The sequence below is a fragment of the Homo sapiens genome, chromosome 8 (genome assembly GCF_000001405.40).
Source record: "Homo sapiens chromosome 8, GRCh38.p14 Primary Assembly".
NCBI classification, from domain to species: Eukaryota; Metazoa; Chordata; class Mammalia; order Primates; family Hominidae; genus Homo; species Homo sapiens.
Window position 1 is genome coordinate 144,696,038 of NC_000008.11, and position 19,850 is coordinate 144,715,887.

The 19,850-nt window shown below is 50.5% G+C and overlaps 1 protein-coding gene and 1 long non-coding RNA gene across 6 annotated transcripts in view, besides 1 other annotated feature; one reads left to right on the forward strand and one right to left on the reverse strand.

The window, feature by feature from the left end:
* The window catches only part of ARHGAP39 (Rho GTPase activating protein 39), a 171,184-nt gene extending 166,859 nt beyond the window's left edge, over positions 1–4,325 (reverse strand). The window contains exon 1 of the mRNA XM_011517308.2: positions 4,203–4,325. The gene's annotated coding sequence lies outside the window, so the exon portion shown is untranslated. The remainder of the gene's footprint in view (positions 1–4,202) is intronic.
* Positions 4,326–4,353: 28 nt separating this feature from the next.
* Positions 4,354–18,808, forward strand: LOC100996662 (uncharacterized). Of its 5 annotated transcripts, none has more exons than XR_007061151.1 (4): positions 8,552–8,957; positions 9,916–10,005; positions 10,873–17,386; positions 17,870–18,808. It is a non-coding gene; the product is annotated as an uncharacterized LOC100996662 (long non-coding RNA). The 5 variants fall into 5 exon arrangements; XR_007061153.1 differs by lacking the exon at positions 8,552–8,957 and having other exon boundaries at positions 8,966–10,005; positions 17,870–18,032; positions 18,147–18,808; XR_001746144.3 differs by lacking the exons at positions 8,552–8,957; positions 9,916–10,005 and adding an exon at positions 4,354–4,441.
* Positions 5,397–6,596: an enhancer, noted in NCBI's record as "MED14-independent group 3 enhancer chr8:145926819-145928018 (GRCh37/hg19 assembly coordinates)". NCBI's record gives its function as "activates an origin of replication core promoter dependent on BRD2, BRD4, P300/CBP and CDK7 cofactors, and independent of MED14, by STARR-seq in HCT116 cells {active_cell/tissue: HCT116}" and the evidence as "EXISTENCE:reporter gene assay evidence [ECO:0000049][PMID:35650434]".
* Positions 18,809–19,850: the final 1,042 nt, after the last annotated feature.

Below are 19,850 nucleotides of genomic sequence, written 5' to 3' on the forward strand. Positions count from 1 at the left end.
AAACAGGGTTAGTGAAAACAAGCTTGGGGATTACAGTACTAAGCACTGGGCCACACGCTGCCTCCACTTTGCTCTGCCGCATGTCTTCATACTTTTCTTGCCCCAGTTAAATTTTTTTTTTAAGACAGTCTTGCTCTGTCACCCAGGCTGGAGTGCAGTGGCACAATCTCAGCTGACTGCAACCTCCGCCTCCTGGGTTCAAGCGATTCTCATGCCTTAGCCTCCTGAGTCGTTAGGATGACAAGTACGTACGACCACACTTGGTTAATTTTTGTATGTTTAGTAGAGACGGGGTTTCGCCACGTTGCCCAGGCTGGTCTTGAACTCCTGACCTCAAGTGATCCACCCGCCTTGGCCTCCCAAAGTGCTGGGATTACAGGGTGAGCCACCGCACCTGGCCGTGCCCCAGTTAAAATTTGTCTATCAATTTCATTTAAGGGATCTTTTGTCATACAAGTCTTTTTCATTTTATTAAATAAATATGCCTAATCTGTTTTTTATAGCTTCTGAGTTGCCCGTCACGGTTACAAAGGATTCCGCTGATCTATCTTGCACATATGATGTCCTAAATTTTCACTAAGATTTTTATTGCTCTGAGTTTTAAAAAAATTTTATTGTGGTAAAATTCATATAACATAAAATTTACCATCTTAACCTATTTTAAGTGTACAGTTCAGTGATATTCAATACATTCACAATGTTGTGCACTTATCACCATCATCCATCTCCAGAACTCTTTAACTGTGTAAAACTAAAACTGTCCCCATTAAACACTAACTCCCCATTCTCCCCTCCCCTCAGTCCCTAGTAACCAACATTCTTTCTGTCTGTATGGATTTGAATGCTCTAGGTACTGCACATAAGCAGAATTATACAGAATTTGTCGTGACTGGCTTATTTATTGCTCTGTTTTTAATTAAGGCTTTAAATACCTCTAGAAATATTTTCATATATGTTATGAGACAGAGGACAACTTTAATTTCTTCTAAATATATTAATGATCCTGGTCGGGCGCGGTGGCTCATGCCTGTAATCCCAGCACTTTGGGAGGCCGAGGCAGGCGGATCACTTGAAGTCAGGAGTTTGAGACCTGCCTGACCAACATAGTGAAACCCCATCTCTACTAAAAATACAAGAAAATTAGCCAGGCATGATGGCATGCGCCTGTAGTTCCAGCTACTCGGGAGGCTGAGGCAGGAGGATCGCTTAAACCCAGGACCTGGAGGAGGTTGCAGTAAGCTGACATCGTGGCTTGGGTGACAGAGCAAGATCCCTCTCAAAAAAAAAAAAAAAAAAGTAATAGCTTTAGCATATCGTTCTATAAATGATGCTTGTTCTTGGAGTTTATGGTTAATAATTTTTACCATATTTAAATCATTTTCATTTATTCCTATTTTCTTTGAAATTTTACTCAGAATGGCTCTAGAATTGTATTCAATGTTATTATTTAGCATATGTGGATGGAATGCTGTTTTTTCTTTTTCTTTTTCTTTTTTTTTGAGAAGGAGTTTCACTCTTGTTGCCCAGGCTGGAGTGCAATGGCGTGATCTCAGCTCACTGAAACCTCCACCTCCCGAGTTCAGGCAATCCTCCTGCCTCAGCCTCCCATGCCCAGCTAATTTTTTTGTATTTTTAGTAGAGACAGGGTTTCACCATGTTGGCCAGGCTGGTCTCGAACTCCTGACCTCAGGTGATCTGCCTGCCTCGGCCTCCCAATGTGCTGGGATTACAGGTGTGGGCCACTGCACCCGGCCTGTTTTTTCTCTTTTAATTTGTTGAGCTAATGAATTGCAATGGTATGTAGGTATCCTTGTATTCCTGAAATAAACCATACTTGGCCATGGCATATTATTTTTTTGATATGCTGCTTGATTCTATTTGCTACTGTCTTATTTATAATTTGTTTTTCAATATTAAACATAGAGATCTGGGTCTATAGATTCTTTGAGCTCTATCATTTTGGCGTGTTAAGCTTCGCTATGGTTTGGGTGTTTGTCCTCCTAAACCTCATGCTGAGATTTGATCCCCAATGTTGGAGGTGGTACTTGGTAGGAGGTGTTTGGATTATGGGGGTGGATCCCTCATGAATGCGTGGTGCCCTCTTCATGGTAATAAGGGAGTTCTAGTTCTATGAATTCCCCCAAAAGCTGGTTGTTTAAACAAGCCTGGCCTCTACCCACTCTCTTTCTTGCCTTTTCTCTTGCTGTGTGATCTCTGCACACCAGCTCCCCTTCATCTTCCACCATAAGTGAAAGCAGCCTGAGGCCTCACCAGTAGATACTGGTGCCATGCTTCCTGCACAGCCTGCAGAACTGTGAGCCAAATAAACCTCCTTTCTTTATATTACCCAGTCTCAGGTATTCCCTTTATAGCAACATAGACTTAGACAAGCTTACAGACAGAAGGCTTCGTAAAGTGAATTGAGGTTTTTAATCTTTTTCTGTGGCTTGGAAGATTGTAATTAACTTTCAAATTATCTGATCTCTAAAGGTTGGTGAGAGCTCAGCTGTGATCTGGAGCCATCTAGAGCTTTCTTAATGGTAGCTTTTTAATCACCTCTCTAATCTGTTTTTTTTTTGGCAATTAGTTAATTCAAGTTTTCTACTTTGGCTCAGCTTTAGTATTTTGCTAGGAACCTATCTGTTCCATCCATATTTTCTTGGCTTTTCCTGGCCTGCCTGGCACAGTCTGTACTGAGAGGACGAAGGCCTTTTCCATGAGTGTCCTTGGCCATGAGTGGGTCAGGGCATCTCCTTGTTGGCTTGGGTATCAGTGGGGAGTGGAATGAGGACACAGCTTCACCTCTAAGGACTCAGAAGCCTTCTTGCAAAGACAAGGCCACCCCTCCCTTGGGGGGGTTGGGGGGTCCAAGATGTGAATAAACATGGAGTGTTCACACCATCCCACGGCCTGCAACCCCAGTGAGAAGGCCCCAGCCGCGTTTCTCTTTGGAGTGGCCCATCCATAGCATTCTGCCTAAAAAAGCAGGGTCCTGGAGTTCCAGGGCTTCTCACTGCACAGGGCGTGGGACACACCTCTTGTCTCTTGGGAGGTACCCGGAGCCCAGCCTCTCAGGCGCTGGGCGATGCAGGGGGTGGGGACTGTAAGCCCTGGGAGATGGGGCAGTGAGGGGCGCTGTGAGGCAGGGTGGTGTGGGAACTGAAGGTGGGGGCGCTATGGAGGATGCGGGGTGGTGTGTTGTAGGGGAGGGCGGTGTAGGGGATGGGTGGGGCAGGGCAGTGGGGCGGGGCCTTGGGGCGGGCGCTGTGGGGCGGGGTGGTGTGGGGGGCTATGGGAAGGGGCACTCTGGGGAGCTGTGGGGTGGGGTGCTGTGGGGCACCTTGGGGCGGGCCGGTGTGGGGGTGCTGTGGGTGGGGCAATGTGGAGGGTCATAGGTTGGGGCCTTGAGGCGGGGGTGGGAGGCTGTGGGGTATTGTGGGGTGGGGCCTGGCGCTGTCAGGGGCGGTGGGGCTGAGGGACCCGAGGTCGAGGCCTCGTGAGGCGCTGTGGGGCAAGGTGCTGTGGGAGGCTTAGGGGGCTGGTGGGCTGGGGGCACGGAGGGGAGGCTGTGTGGGCGCTCGGCGGCAGGGCGGGGCGGGGTGCTGGTGGGCTACGGGACGGGAGGGTGGGACAGTCTGCGGACCATGCGGGGCTGGGTGGGCTGGATCAGTGCCCAAGTTGACTTCGCGTCACCAACTGGCATGAGGTTTGGGTAGGAAAGCGGGCTTCTCACAAGAATAAAATCCATCAAGGTCCTCTGTCTCCACTGGAGCCCCCAGTCACAGCGCCTTCCTCCGGGCTAGAACCTGTCGGGGGCCCCCAGCCTGTCCAGGGCCGCTGTCTTCCAGGAAAGAGAGAGCTGTGCCCAGAGAGGAGACAGAACTCTTTCTCCGTGAATCGCATCCTTTTCTGTGCGGGATGATTTACATTCTGGGAACAAACGGGGCCGTATCTCACAGTGCTGCAGGATGCCAGTGGTGCAAACAGTCGGCGACCCGGCCATTTCCCGAGGGTCTCAGGCGTCCCACCCAACGGCCGCTCCCCGTTCCCTGTCCGTCACCTCCTCGTTCTCCTACGAAGGCGCGAACGTTCCAGACTCTCGCCGGTCCTCGACAGCACTCATTCAGTCTCCCCCCTGGAGATCCCAGGCTGTACTCTGGGACAGAAAAGAAGGCGGGTACGACCGCGGTGTCGGGTCCTACCTTAGCCGCTCCTTCTCCTGAGGGAGCCAGGCGGGAGAGAGGGGAACCACCGAGGCCTCGGTCTTCCCGCGTCCCAGAGCGGCCGGGCGAGTCTCACTTCCGGCCTGTGACCCGCTGACCTGTCCTTGTCCCACCAGTCGGGCGGTGAATTGGACTGACTGGTGACCCCTGGCACCAGGCTTCCCCATGGGCACCGGAGCAGGCGGACAGGGGTGGGGTCCCGCGAGCGACACGGAAGGGTCAGTGTGGCGGAGCGGACCCTGTGGAGGCGGGGTCACTGTGCTCCTGAGAAGGGTCCTCGGGGGTGGAGTCTATCAAGGTTGCGGGGGCGTGGTCACGGAGCGGAGCCAATAAAAGCGGGGCGTGCACGGCCGCGGGCCAGTGCCTATGAAGGGCGAGGGGTGTGGTCACAGGGCGGGATCTACGAAGGATGCAGGGGCGAGGCCGGGTCTCTGCAGGATGTGCGGTCGCGGGTCGGAGTCTATAAAGGCAAGGGGCGGGGTCCCTGGGTTGGGTGAGGGGTGTGGTCATGGGGGGCAGGTCTGTGTAGGGTGAGGAGCTTGTTCCCCGAATGAGGGTCTGTGAAGGGTGAGGGGCATGTTCCTGGGGTGGGGGTGTTTGTGAAGGATGAGGAGAGTTTTTCCGGCATGAGGGGCTGTGAAGGGTGAGAGCCATGTTGCCGGTGGTGCGGGTCTGTGAAGGGTGAGGGGAGTGTTCCTGGAGCAGGATATGTGAAGGGTGAATGACGTGGTTTCGGGGTGAGGTTAGTGCAGGATGAAGGGAGTTGTCTAGGAGCTGTGTCCTCTAAGGTGAGGGGCGTGGTCTCTGGGCGGGGTCCGCCATTTTGTCTGGTGAAAGTTGGGAAGGGACAAGCGAGACTCCCACCTCTGGCCTCATCCTCAGCCCTGCGTTTTCCCCACTTGTACTGCCAGAAAGCTGAGTGGTGGCAATCACTTTTGGAGTCTTCCTGAGACAATCCACCAATATGAAGTAAACTCGAGGAAGTGAGAGGAAATCATTCGTTCATTCATTGATTCCACTCAAGGATCACCCAGGGCTCCTCTCTCAGCTCTTCTTCTCACGTCCAATGCCCTACAAGATATCTAGAAGCTGCCCTGCTGTCCCTGCACGGCTCTTGGGCCGGAAGCGTGCTGGGGGTGGTGGGGGCCAGGGAATAGCATAAAGAGGGAAATGTGGAGCAGAGCCTGGCTCTGTCTGTGCAGGACTCTCCTCTCAAGCATGAATGGCCATGGGATGGTGATGACAGGTGGTACCTCTGACTTAGCAAACGTGGAGCACTGAGATAGGAAAGGGCCACTGGACCCCAACCTGTGCCCTGGACCACAGGTTTCCTCCCGTGTCCTCTCCTGCCTCCAGACTGCCCTCTGCAAGAAGCCAGAGTGATGTCTTCCATTGCTGCTTGTTAGAAATAAATGCTCATTCCCTGGTGTCGCAAGGAAGAGGCAGCATTTAGACAAAAAGTACTCTCAGCAAGGCAACTTTACTTTCTGCAGAAATGGTACTGCTTGCCAGCAGTCTTGCCAAGAGAGTACACCGAACAAAGGGAGACAGGAATATGTATCCCTAACGCATGAGGTCCCTACTGCTGTGTCCTATCTCCGTTGGCTGAGTTGGACCTCACATTCTAGGCTGAACTTAATTGGTTAACAATTTAAAACTTTCTAAATAGGTAAAGACAATGAGGAACAAAGGAAAAGAGGAAGTTGCTTACGAAAGGACTTTAGAACAGTAATAACATTTCTGAATAAGGAAGGGGCATAGGCTGCAAGCTGGGACATGTCTGGGCACGTCCAGCACGAATATTTCGGTTAAGGTACAAGGACACAGAATGTACTACATGTCTGTGAAAATGTCTAACACAAATACTGAAGTCAGAGTATACAGGCATACGGTATGCTTATTCTGTTACATTTGCTATATAAGGCATAACAGAGTTATCACTATAAAATAACAAGCTTGAATAGAACTAGCTCTGAGAGAAAATACCAATAACATTTCTGATTTAAAGAAGAAACTTTGAAGAGGAACTTTTTACTTTCCACACTGCTCTTAATTTTGAGAATGTTCAAATCCACAGAAAAGTATTATGAACACCATAAACTCTTCATTTAGATTCTATAGTTGTTGACATTTTGCCACACTGGCTGTATCTTTGAATATATTTACTTTTTGCTGCTGAAAAGTAATTTGAAAATACCGTTGACCCTTGAATAATAAAGGGGTTGGGGCAGTGACCCCTGTGCAGTTGAAAATCAAAGCATAACTTTTAACTCCCCTAAAATTTAACTACTAATAGCCTACTGTTGACTGGAAGCCTTACGCATAACATAGTCAATTAACACATTTTTTATGTTATATGTATTATATACTCTATTCTTTAGATAAGCTAGAGAAAAGAAAATGGTGTTCAGAAAATCATAAGGAAGACATAATATATTTAATATTCATTAAGTGAAAGTGGATCATCATAAAAGTCTTCATCCTCATTGTCTTCACATTGAGTAGTCTGAGGAAGAGGAGGAAGAGGAGGATTGGTCTTGCAATCTCAGGGGTGACTGAGTTGGAAGAAAATCCAATTATAACTGACCCTTGCAGTTCAAACCTGTGTTGTTTCAGGGTCAGCTGTAATTTGTAGACATCATGACACTTTCCCTTAGGTACCTCAGCCTATTTCCTAGAGATGAGGACATTTTCTTACATGATAGCAATACTTTATTTCACCTGAGAAAATTAACAATTATCCCGTGGTCCCCGGGCACGGTGGCTCATGCCTGTAATCTTAGCACTTTGGGAGGCTGAGGTGGGTGGATCACGAGGTCAAGAGATCGAGACCATCCTGGCCAACATGGTGAAACCCCATCTCTACTAAAAATACAAAAATTAGCTGGGTGTGTTGGCATGCACCTGTAGTCCCAGCTACTTGGGAGGCTGAGGCAGGAAAATCACTTGAACTCAGGAGGCAGAGGTGGTGGTGAGCCAAGATCGTGCCACTGCACTCCAGCCTGGCGACAGAGTGAGACTCCGTCTCAAAAAAACAAACAAAAGCAAAAATCCTGTGGTCACATAACTTATTTCTCCAATTGTCTCTAAAATGTCTGCATAGCTGGGTTTTTCCCCTCTAATTCAGAAGCTAATCAAGATTGCATGTTGCATTTAATTGTGTCTCTTCAGGCTGTTTTTTTTTTTTTTTTTTTTGAGACAGAGTCTCGCTCTGTCGCCCAGGCTGGAGTGCAGTGGCGTGATCTCGGCTCACCGCAAGCTCCTTCTCCTGGGTTCAAGCCATTCTCCTGCCTCAGCCTCCCGAGTAGCTGGGACTACAGGCGCCTGCCACCATGCCCAGCTAATTTTTTGTATTTTTAGTAGAGACGGGGTTTCACCGTGTTAGCCAGGACGCTCGATCTCCTGACCTCGTGATCTGCCTGCCTTGGCCTCCCCAAGTGCTGGGATTACAGGCGTGAGCCCGGCCTTTTTTTTTTTTTTTTTTTTTTTTTTTTGGAAACAAGGTCTCACTCTGTCCCCAAGGCTGGAGTGCAGTGGCGCCATCATGGCTCATTGCATCCTCATCCTCCCAGGCTTAGGTGATCCTCCCACCTCAGCCTCCCGAGTAGCTGGAACTACAGGAATGTGCCACCACGCCTGGCTAATTTTTTGTATTTTTTTATAGAGACCAAGTCTTACCATGTTACCCAGGCTAGTCTCAAACTCCTGGACTCAAAGGATCTGCCTGCCTTGGCCTCCCAAAGTGCTAGGATTACAGGCCTAAGCCACCGCACCTCGCTGGCTGTTTTAATCTGGAATAGCTTCCCTGCTTTTTGTTTCTCTTTAGGACACTGACTTGTGACCATGTGTGGCCATCTATCTGTGTTATACCCCATGTTCTAGGTGTAACATGGAGCCCACACAGATTAACACTCCCTGCCCTTCATGCCCCAGTGGGTGGAGTCGTGGTCTCTGCTGTCCATGAGGCAGAGGTGGTTGAGGTGACATGCAGCCAATTATGGCTTGCCCCCAACCCCCTGGGCCCAGCTGCTGGGGAGAGACCCCTGCTGACCACCTTTCCAGGGTCCAGCTCAGGCCGTGCCCCTCCACCTGCAACCATGATGCCATGGTGGCTTCTTTTGTGGTGGCCTCTTTCGAGGGGGTGCAGGGAGGCTGCAGAGCTGAGGCCTCAAGATGGACAGGGCTGTGGGCCAGAGGCCTGGTGAGGAAGCCAGTTTACAAACCCCAGTCAGAGCGGGCTGAGCCAGGGGCCGGCAGAGACTGAGAGACCAAGGACCAGGGTAGTGATTGGGGGAGGGAGGCGCCCTGGCCTCAGGCAGGGGTGGGGGCGGCTGGGGAGGAGGGGAGCAGGTGGAGGGGTGAGCCCTCACCCCCTGCCATTCCCAGCCTGGGGCCTGCTGCCAGCTCTACCAAAAGGGTTTTCTCCAGGCCCAAACTATAGGTCCTCCTGCAGGAAACTCTGAGGATGCACACCCCTCCAGCATGACTCCAGCCCCTCTTGAACATGCCTCGCCCCCACAAGGCATTGATTTGAGGTGCTCTAGGGAGGAGGGCAAGCTGGAGACCCGAGGGAGCCCACAGTGGACCCAAACTCCGGGGGTGGGAGAGGGTACCAGTGGGAGGTGTTGCCAGGCAGGGTCAGGGTCAGGTCACATCCTCCAGACTCCAAGCAGCAGAGGCACAGCATCACCCTTGAACCTGAATTCAAGGGCTCTGCAGCAGCACTAAGCCCAGGTGAGAAGGTCTTGGGCACAGGTGCCCTTCATGCTGAAGGAAATGCAGGGTCACCAGCTCCTAAGACAGCTTGTTACCTGGGGCCGCTGCAGCAGTCAGGTCTGCGGGGCATGGGCTTGCCCTTTTGTGTCTTCCTTTTGACACCCTGCCTCTATCCTTCCCAGGAGGAGCCCAGCGATGGTGGCTGAGCCCCAGGTGAGCTGGCCTTTGGGGAACAGTTGCTGCCCAAGGCCTCTCCCCCTCAGCCTGGAGCCCCTTGCCCAGCAGACCCTTGGGGCCCTGAGAACAGAATCTCCCTCCTCAGATCCAGGCCCACCCCACTAGCTGCCCCTTCCACAGAGCTGAGCAGGATGCAGGGCCCTAAGGGGAGAGCCCAGTTTTGAGAGCTCTGTGTTTCCATAGTCACACCTTCCCTGCCCAACCTACCCCTAGCTCTTTTCCTAAACATCTGCCTGGAAGGTAGGGAGATGCACGTAGAGCCTCTTGCTAGAAACTCAGTCCAAGCTGCAAGGTGCATTTGCCCTTGGGCAGGGGTGAGGCTCTCTGGGCAGTGAGCACCTGTGATTCCAGGGCACAGTGATGTTTGAGGAGGTGGCCATGTACCTCACACAGGAGGAGGGGCAGCACCTGGGACCCCCTCAGAGAGCACTCTACCAGGATGTGATGCTCGAGAACCACTGCACCCTACCAGCTCTGGATAAGCATCACATGGTGGGCTTCAGGTCCCTGCTCCCCATCCCCAGGTGACTGGTCCCCTGGGCTCTCTTGACTCATAGACCAAATATCCCCAGTCCATGCTGGGGTGCTCGTGTCCCAGCAGGGAGTGCCCAGTGATCTCATCACCCATTCTTTCTTCTCGAGACCTCCTCTGGATCCCCCTCCTCTTGCAGCCTCTGTGGCCCTCAGCCAGGGGCAGCTCAGATATTCTAGCACTGACCATTATCTTCTTGATAGACAGGTTTTTCAGTGTCCACACTCAGGGTTATCTCCCAGCAGGAGCAGGGGAAAATGCCATGGGTCATTGCTCTGCCAGGGCCTCCCTGCACAGGTGAGTGAGGAGGTGGGTATCTCAGGGGAACTGTGATGTGTTGTGCATGTGAGCTGTGAGAGTGGTGAGGGGGGAGTTCAAATGGCCAGCTGAGAGACCCCTGATTGTCTATTCTGGCTCCCGTCCTGGCCCCACCTTCCCTCTGAGGGGAAGTGCAAGTCCACTGTGCAGCTACTCAGGTGGGACAGCCATTTTCTAGTGGTGACCAGCCTTCCGATGAGCTGATTTGCACTTACATGTCAAAGTACAAACAAAACTCCACATTGTGGTCACACGGGAGCATGCCCCCAGCACCCTCTCCTATTTCCACAGTTTGCATGCTGCTTGCATGCAGGCATTCTTCTAGGTGCTGGGGTTAAGTATAAGCAAAACCAAGTCCTTGTCTTCAGGGAGTGTACATTTTGGTTTGTGGAGAACATCGTAGTTTGTGGAAGAATTATTTATCCTGCCTGATGTCCTATCACATTGTCGGTCTCCACATTAGAAAGTTAAGGGACAGGGGACTTCATTCATTCACCAATTCCCTGGTACCTCAAGCAGTGCCAGGCACCCAGGAGGCACCTGGCAAACACTGCTGGAATGAATCCCTCGTTCTTTAGTTGTCAGTTCCTGCTTTGTGCACTGCGCCATTAAGGTGCCGCAAGTACTTGTGTGAGAAGGCATTTGCCCTCAGAATTTCAGTCCAGTCAGAGTGAGATGGACACACACAACTAAGCATGATACAAGACAAAATGGAATAAAGTGATTAACAGAAGGGAAAATAAAACTCAACTCAGGCTGAGACATATGAGCTGCACGGAAATTTGCTTTGGCTCAATCAATTCCTTCTTTCACAGGGAAACTTTTAATTTCCATTCTTTGTTTCAGATTCCTAGGTCAAAACAAAGCATAAACAATCAACGCCAACAGAAAAATCTTCCGAAGAACAATTACAAGAAGTAACTCAGGAAATTTTCCCAAGAGGCAATCCAGAAGAGTTTGAGTTTCGATCAGCTTGTAGGACTGAGACAGGAGCAGAACATTGCTGGAAGAAATTCACAATACAGACCAGGATGAAGTTATTTCCCCAAAAGAGAGGTTCGAGGCAAGTGGTCAGCTCCCCGTTGAAAATCATTGTAGCAGACAAATACCGGGAATGTAATAAATTGGAGAAAAGTTTGTCTCTGGGCACAAAGCCTGTTGTACCTCTGAGGGACAGGCCAGGAAAGAGAGCCAGTGGATGGAGGATGGGTGGCTGAGGCTTTCCATGTGAGTCATATCTGAGTGGACATCGGGCAGTTACCAGTGGGACAAAGCCCCATGGATGCCATGTGTATGGGAAGTCTTTCAGCAAGAACTCACACCTTACTTGGCATCAGATAATTCATACTACAGAGAAGCCCTGTGTATGTATTGAATGTGGGGAAAAAAACACAACTCAAGCCTTATACATCATCAGAAAATTCACCATGGATGGTGAAACCCTATCTCTACTAAAAACACAAAAATTATCTGGGTGTGGTGGTGTATGCTGGTAATCCTGGCTACTCAGGAGGCTGAGGCAGAAGAATTGCTTGAACCAGGGAGGCGGAGGTTGCATTGAGCTGAGATTGCGGCACTGCACTCCAGCCTGGGCGACAGAGTGAGACTCCATCTCAAAAGAAAAGAAAAGAAAAGAAAATTCATGGTGGAGAAAAACCCTGTGTGTGTAGTGAATGTGGTAAGGGCTTTAGGGAGACATCAAAGCTTGTTAAACATCAGAGAATTCATACTGGAGAAAAGCCCTATAGGTGGGATGAATGTGACAAAGCCTTTAGTGGGAATTCAAACCTTATTAAACACCAACTGATACATACTGGAGAGAAGCCCTATAAATGTATTGAGTGCGGGAAAGCCTTTAATCCGAAAGCAAATCCCATGCAATATCAGAGAATTCATACAGGAGAGAAACTTTTTGAATGTCAAGAGTGTGGAAAAAGCTTCAGTCAGCCATCACACGTGATTCATAATCAAAGGAAGCATGCTTGAGAGAAGCCCTACAAATGCAGTGAGTGTGGAAGGGGCTTCAAACATCACACCTGATTGATCATCAAAGAATACACACTGGAGAGAAAACTTATGTGTGTGTCATGTGGGAGAGGCTTTATTCAGATGTCACACTTGATTCATTGCCACAGAACACATTCTGTAGAGAAGCCACATGCATGTAGTGTATGTGGGAAATGCTTCAGCCAGAGCTCAACCCTTATTAGACATTAGGTTGTTCACATTATGGATAGGAAGTATAAGTTAAAGGAATGTGGGCAGGCTTTCAGTGTGAGCTAGCTTCTCAGTCACTATCTCACAAATTCTACTGGAGAGGAACCCCTCAATTCATACAGGAGAGAAGAGCATCCAAGAATGCAACAAAGGTGGGAAGACTTTCATTGTAGCTCATTATATAATGTCAGAGAGTTCCTGTTGGAGAGAACCCCTATGGATGTAATGAATGTTGAAAAAGCATTTATTTGGAACTCACATATTATTTACAATGAGATAATTCATAGAGGATATAATGGATATGAGAGGCTTTGGTGTACTGTGGGAAGTAGGTGGAAATGTGGGTTCCTGCTATTGCCAGCTGCTCCCTTTTGAATAAACTGCCCTAGCAGGTGCTTGCCCCAGGGTGGCCATGCTCTGTAGGGAATCTTGCTTTAGACTGGGATTGTAAGATGGAGACAAAGACAGCCTTATTCCTGGCTGGGAATGCCACTGGAAATGCTAGGGGAGGCCAGTGGTCCATGGCGTGGCCTGATCTCAAATATGCAGAAACCAGAAGCAGAGACCAGACCCAGAGAGAGGCAGATAAATGCAACCCCCAAAGTGGATGCACAGGAAAATGGAAAACTACTAGAGTTAGTGTTGGGTCTCCAGAGCTGCCTTTTTATCCTGAACAATGATGAGCAATGACTCCAGGTCTTCGTGAAACCAAACAGAATAGCTGAGGCAGCTTCCTACACCTCTGCACTAAGTTTTTTAAATCTGAAAGCATGTAGAATGAGTGTCAGCCGCACCAACATGTAGGATCTGTCTTTTAATCAGAAGGCAATCCGTTGTGGCTACTGGCTATACTGAAAACATAACATTATTTTAACATAATCCTTCAGCAGCTTAGGATAAAATCCTTGACTTTAGAATGAAGTTTTCACTATGAAATGAAATCAAGGCTGGGCACAGTGGCTTATGCTTGTAATCCCAGCACTCTGAGAGACCAAGATGGATCACTCGAGGCCAGGACTTTTGAGACCAGCCTGGCAACATGGTGAGACCCCATCTCTACAAATAAATAAAATTAGCTAGGCATGGTGGGAGGATCATTTGAACCCAGGAGGTTGAGGCTGGAGTGAGCCATGATTTCACTACTGTACTCTGTCCTGGGCAACAGAGCGAGCCTCTGTCCTAAAAATATGTGTGTTAAAGATTACTTATATCTAGTTCATACCTCCTAAAGGTAATTTGAATTGAAATAGTGATGCATACAATAAGGTCATTAAAGTAGAAACAGAAAATAAAGGATTATAAAGCCATTGATGGTAAGAGCAATTGATTTTGTGAACTACAAATCATAGATTTAACTGAATAGTTTGTTGTTTATACAAAATAGCTGTTGAAAAGTTTCTGACTGACTGGGTGCAGTGGCTTATGCCTATAATCCCAGCACTTTTGGAGGCCAAGGCAGGTGGATCACTTGAGAACAGCCTGGCCAACATGGAGAAACTCTGTTTCTACTAAAAATACAAAAATTAGCCAGGCATGGTGGTGCACGCCTGTAATCCCAGCTACTCCAGTGAGTCAAGAGAATTGGTTGAACCCAGGAGGCAGAGGTTGCAGTGAGCTGAGATCACACCACTGCACTCCAGCCTGGGTGACGGAGTGAAACTCTTGTCTCAAAAAAAAAAAAAAGTTTCTGGTTAGATTTTTCCTCTAGGCGCAATCTGAGGAGAAAGGAGGAAAGCTTGGAGAGGAACACAGCTATGAAATGCATCCATCTGCCCCTCCTTCGTCATCAGGCAATGGCACAATCTGAGCCAGGAATGACCCTCTGTCTTCCAAGGCCTGAGGTGCAGAGAAGAGCAACCAAGCCCACATAATCTTCCAGGGTTCCAACCCCAGTCCTGGGTATAAGAAGCAAGCTGTTGCCTTATATGTGTTAAAAAGAAGAGAGGGGCTGGGTGCAGTGGCTTACGCCTGTAATCCCAACACTTTGGGAGGCTGAGGCAGGAGGATCACTTGAGGCCAGGAGTTCAAGACTAGACTACAAAGTGAGACCCTGTCTCTACAAAAAAAAAAAGAAAAATTACAAATTAGTCAGGTGTGGTGGCCTGCACATGTAGTTCCAGATACTTGGGAGGCTGAGGCAGGAGGATCGCTTGAGGCCAGAAGTTTGAGACTACAGTGAGCCGTGACTGCCCCACTGAACTCCAGTCTGGGTGATAGAGACCACCTGGTCGCTAATTAAAAATTGTTTTCAAAAGGGAGGGGAGGGTAGACTCTTGAGTCTTGTCTACAATTCTGTACTCCTTTCAGGGAAAACGGACCTTACATTCATAAAAGGGGAGCCACAGCAGCTGTTGTCACCAACAGGTGCTTTTGTGCATCACTGATTTGTGTCTGGCTCACTCACTTCCACTTGTCCTGTTGTGCACACCGTTGGATGCCAGGTGACACTTGCCAAGGTCGTAAGTGCCACAGGACTTGCAGTGAAGGGAAGGGTTGATTGGGGAAGAGGGATGAGGAAGGTTTGGATGAAGGGATAGAACTGGGCCTTGAAGGATTGACAAGATGATGGCAGAAGGAACACAGATGAGCTGGGAAGAGGCTGATACTCTCAGATGCCGTGGAGTTGGGAGTGTGAGGACCCGGGAAGGACTGGGATCCTGCAGAGCCTGGCCTTGCAGGCCCTGCTGGGGAGTGTGTTCAGTCCTGGAGACATGGGAGCTGTAGGATATTTTGAACCAGGAGGGTTTCAGAATTCCTCTTCAAGGCCATCTGGGTACGTGGACTGCAAAGCACCTGGCAGCTCCCTGTGCCCACGAAGTTACTGTGCTCCATGTTGTGCATGGCTCTTCTCCTCACCTGTCATCCAGGGGTGTCATAGGTATGCTGCCCTGTTCCTCAGACTGTAAACTGGCTTCTTGATTACCCTCATGGCTCCTTTTCCTTCACATGAGATTTTATGGTTTAAAAAAAAAAAAAAAAAGAACCCACACAGTTTGTGGCTGAATGCTGTGGTCAAGGACCTGGGCCATAGCGCACTTGTACTGGGGAGATCAGCAGGGAGATTACTGAGAGGCAAACTCACCTGCCCAGAGTCTGGACTGTGGCTCTGCAGGCTCTGATACCTGATTCTTCCCTCATACTGAGATGATCCCTACACTCCAGGAAGTGGACATAGAAGACCAGAAAGTCAGGGCACAGATTGAGCCCTGCTAGAGGCTAGATTCTTAACATCTGCCCGAAAGTTGTTAGCAACCCTGGTGTTGCCACTGGGATTGTACCTCCGTTTGTGCATAGGTCTTGAGGGAAGCTGGAGGAACAGAAACCAGAACATGGGGAGTGGACAGTGCCTGGACAGTATCTGTACATTTCTGGCTCTTTGTCTTTCCATTTTCTTTCCTCTAAGGCTTAGAGTCCAAGCTGAATGTTAGTTTCCTCTGTGTTTCTCTAATGAATGATTAGGTTTCTGCTCATGAAATTAAAATCTCATTCTATGCCCTTTGGGACAATAAATTTAGACTTGATGGAAGTTTAGAACGACTCCCAAATTATTCAGTAACACATTTAAAGACAGTCTCTTGTCTGTCCCTATGATGGCCAGCCACATCGAATGTGAGAGCCTGGGGGGAGTAAAAAGAGGGTTTTGGAGTGGGACAGATGGATCTGGATCATAGACAATTTGTTCAACCTCAGCTTTCTTACCTGTGAAATGGTGATGTCAATCCTTACCTGGCACACGCAGAGCACTTGGCACCACCTGGCACATAGCAGGTGCTCCATGAATGGCAGCTACTGTTACTGTGTCTGGAGTTGGTTCCTTCCAGTTGGTTCGTGGTCTCACTGACTTCAAAAATGGAGCCACCAACCTTCACAGTGAGTGTTACAGCTCTTAAAGATGGCACGGACCCAGAGTGAGTAGCAGCAACATTTATTGTGAAGCGCGAAAGAACAAAGCTTCCACAGCATGGAAGAAGATCCGAACGGGTTGTCCCTGCTGGCTGGAGGGTGGTCAGCTTTTATTCCCTTATTTGTCCCTGCTCATGTCCTGCTGATTGGTCCATTTTACAGAGTGCTGATTGGTCCATTTTACAAACCTCTAGCTAGCTCTACAGAGCACTGACTGGTGCATTTTACAAACCTCTAGCTAGCTACAGAGTGCTGATTAGTGCATTTTACAATCTCCTTGTAAGACAGAAACGTTCTCTGAGTCCCCACTCGACCCAGGAAGTCCAGCTGGCTTCACCTCTCATTACCACCACAGTGGACTTTAGTAGGCTAATGGTCAAAGGCAACTTTATCTTTGTGACCAGGAGATAACTTTTTCCCCAAATGGGTGAAAAGACTAAGGTTCTGACATGTTGCTTCCGGGCTCCTGCTGTGGATATCATCAACCACAGCCACCTGGAAACATTCCCGAGATACCTATTTTTCCTACAGAGAAGTCAAGTTATTTTTCCTACCTTCGGTCCTTAGTTCTCATTCTCCAAGGAACTCAACAGTCCTGAGCAACACTGAGGTCTCAGGGGCCTAGTTCCATGAGGGACTCTGTGGCAACTGGCCCCTGGGTCCCTCCCCTCCCATCCAGGGCCGCCCCAGCGGTCTCCATGCCCAGGGCGCCTCTTCCCTCTTCAACAGCCCCAGGGGCACCAGGGCCGCTTCTCACTCAACACTGTCTCTGGGCGACCTCGCGAGCTCAGTGGCATCACTGACCATCAAGACGCCCCAATTTGCATCTACATCACAGCAGCATCTGCCGGCTTTAGGTCCTGTCTTCACCAGGATGTCCCACAGTCGCTTCACACTAAGAGCCCAACTGGCCCCTTCCTTGCCCGGACCCGGAGCTCCTGTCGGGGACCGTTGAACCACCGAGTGGGCGGTCATCCGGGTGTCTCAGAGCAGACCGAGAGCAGGTGCGCAGACCTCTGTGGACGGCTACTTCCGGTGCGCTCCCAACAGGTTTCCGCCCGGGGTCACCGGCCGCAGTGCTCCTTTCGGCTCCAGGGAAGCGCGGACTCGCCCCTGCTGCCCGCCCGGCGTTGCCTCAGCACATCCCTGACCGTCGGAGGAGCCCCTAGAAGTGGCAGTGGGCGCAATGGTGGCGGCGTGTGGCGGGGCCGTGCCCAGAAGCGCTCGCAGTCCCGGAGCGGTGGGGGAGGGCCGCTGCACCCCGCGCCCGAGTCTGGGCGTCCGCATTGCCGCGTGGCCGGCGAATTGCGCCCGAGGGGGTGGTTAAGACAAAAGCGTGGGGAGGGGCCACGTCCCCGCTGCCCCAGCCAGGCGTTTCCTTGCCTCGCTGATCGTTCCTCTACGGCGGGAACGCGAGGCGCCCACCGGGGATGTCGCTAATGAGTCCGCGGGGCGACGCCGAGAGTGGCTTGTGAGGGGTCCCCGCCGGAGCCCCTGGCGCGCGCCTCTTCCAGTGCTTTCCACCTCATTTCTGGCCGAGTGCCTCGAGAGGGTAGAGGGCGAGAAATCCTTTGCCTCAAACATCCCCTAAATGGGTCGGAAAGATCAAAGAGAAACGTTTCTGAGGGAAAACCTGGCGTCATCGCGTCAGCCACGTTTTCAGAGCGTGCGTTTTCCGCGGGGTGGGAGCTGCCGTCTGACCATAGGTTTCTTGCGGCCCTAGATTCTTCGGCGCCTTAAACCTGGGGTTCCGGAAGCTGTAGCCCCCGTTTCAAAATCCGCCGGAAGCGCCTGACCCCCAGAAGTCGCGCTCTGCCCTGACCTGCCGGAGAGCGGGGGCCGCGCGGAGTTTCCGCGGGACTTCCTGCTGTGGAGGTTAAAGCACGGTTTGTCAAAACGCCTTAGAACTTGCAATGCCGGCCATTCGCGTCGGGGTGGGGTCCCCAGAAGCAGACCCTGAGGTGAGGCTTCCTGTATTCTTGGCTTATTGGGAGGCGCAGGCTCGGCCAGTGAGGACTGGGAAGAAGAGGAGGCCAGCCCGGGTGAGCGTCGTGCAGAGGCCGCGGGGTGACCGGGTCCAGTCCTGCAGGGGGGTCTGGAACATGTTCGGATCGGACCTCAGCGCGGATCCCTCCCGTCGGGGTGGAGGGAGCTGGGCCTTTTCTGCCTCAGCGGCTTTAGGACTGTTCCAGGAAGAGGTGAGCAGCGGCGGCCCTCGACCCAGAGAAGCAGGGGCCACAAGGAACTGGGTGCAGGAAGGTGGTGAAGGGCCCAAAGGACGCGTGCGTGGCCTCAGGAAGTGCCGGAAGAAAGCCTGAGTCTGAATCTGAGAATTTCTCCAGGTTTACCTTCTTGAGGGGTCGCCAAACTGTTTTCCAAAGCAGCTGCCTCATTGTACCTTCCCATTCTGTATCTGTTCATCCATACAGCCATACATGACAGTTTCTCCACATCCTTATCAACACTTGTTATTGGCCTTTTTTTAAAAAATCATAGTCATAGCTGGTGGGTGTGAAGTGGTGTCGCTTTGTGGTTTTGATTTGTATTTCCTTGATAAGTAATGATGTTAAGCATCACCTCACATGCTTAATGGCCATTTGTGTATCTTTGAAGAAATATCTATTCAAATCTTTTGCCCATTTAAAAACTACTTGTCTTTTTATTGAGTTGTAAGAGTTGTTTCTCTGTTCTGGATACAAGTTCTTTAGCAGATAGATGGTTTGCAGATATTTTCACCTACCGTGGGTTGTCTTTTTCAGTTGTTTGTTTTTTGAGACGGAGTCTCACTCTGTCGCCCAGGCTGGAGTGCAATGGCGCGCCATCTGCGCTCACTGCAAGCTCCGCCTCCCGGGTTCACTCCATTCGCCTGCCTCAGCCTCCCGAGTGGCTGGGATTACAGACGTGCGCCACCGTGCCTGGATGGTTTTTGTACTTTTTTTTTTTTTTTTTTTTTTTGTGAGACGGAGCCTCGCTCTGTCGTCCAGGCTGGAGTGGAATGGTGCGATCTCGGCTCACCACAACCTCCGCCTCCTGGGTTCAAGCGATTCTCCTGCCTCAGCCTCCCGAGTAGCTGGGATTACAGGCACTCGCCACCACACCAGCTAATTTTTGTATTTTTAGTAGAGACAGGGTTTCACCATGTTGGCCAGGCTGGTCTCAAACTCCTGACTTCGTGATCCGTCCACCTCGGCCTCTCAAAGTGCTGGGATTACAGGCGTAAGCCAGTGAGCCCGGCCAGTTTTTGTACTTTTAGTAGAGATGGGGTTTCAGCATGTTGGGCAGGCTGGTCTCGAACTCCTGACCTAAAATGATCCACCCGCCTCAGCCTCCCCAAGTGCTGGGATTACAGGCGTGAGCCACCACGCCTGGCTGTCGTTTCACTTTCTTTTTTTTTTTGAGTCGGAGTCTGGCTCTGTTGCCCAGGCTGGAGTGCAATGGCATGACCTCGGCTCACTGCAACTTCCGCCTTCTGGGTTCAAGCAAATCTGCCTTGGCCTCCTGAGTAGCAGGGATTACAGGCGCCCACCACCACACCTGGCTAATTTTTGTATTTTTAGTAGAGACAAGGTTTCACCACATTGGCCAGGCTGGTCTTGAACTCCTGACCTCGTGATCTGCCCGCCTTGGCCTCCCAAAGTGCTGGGATTACAGGTGTGAGCCACCATGCCCAGCTCACTTTCTTGATGGTATCATTTGCAGCACAA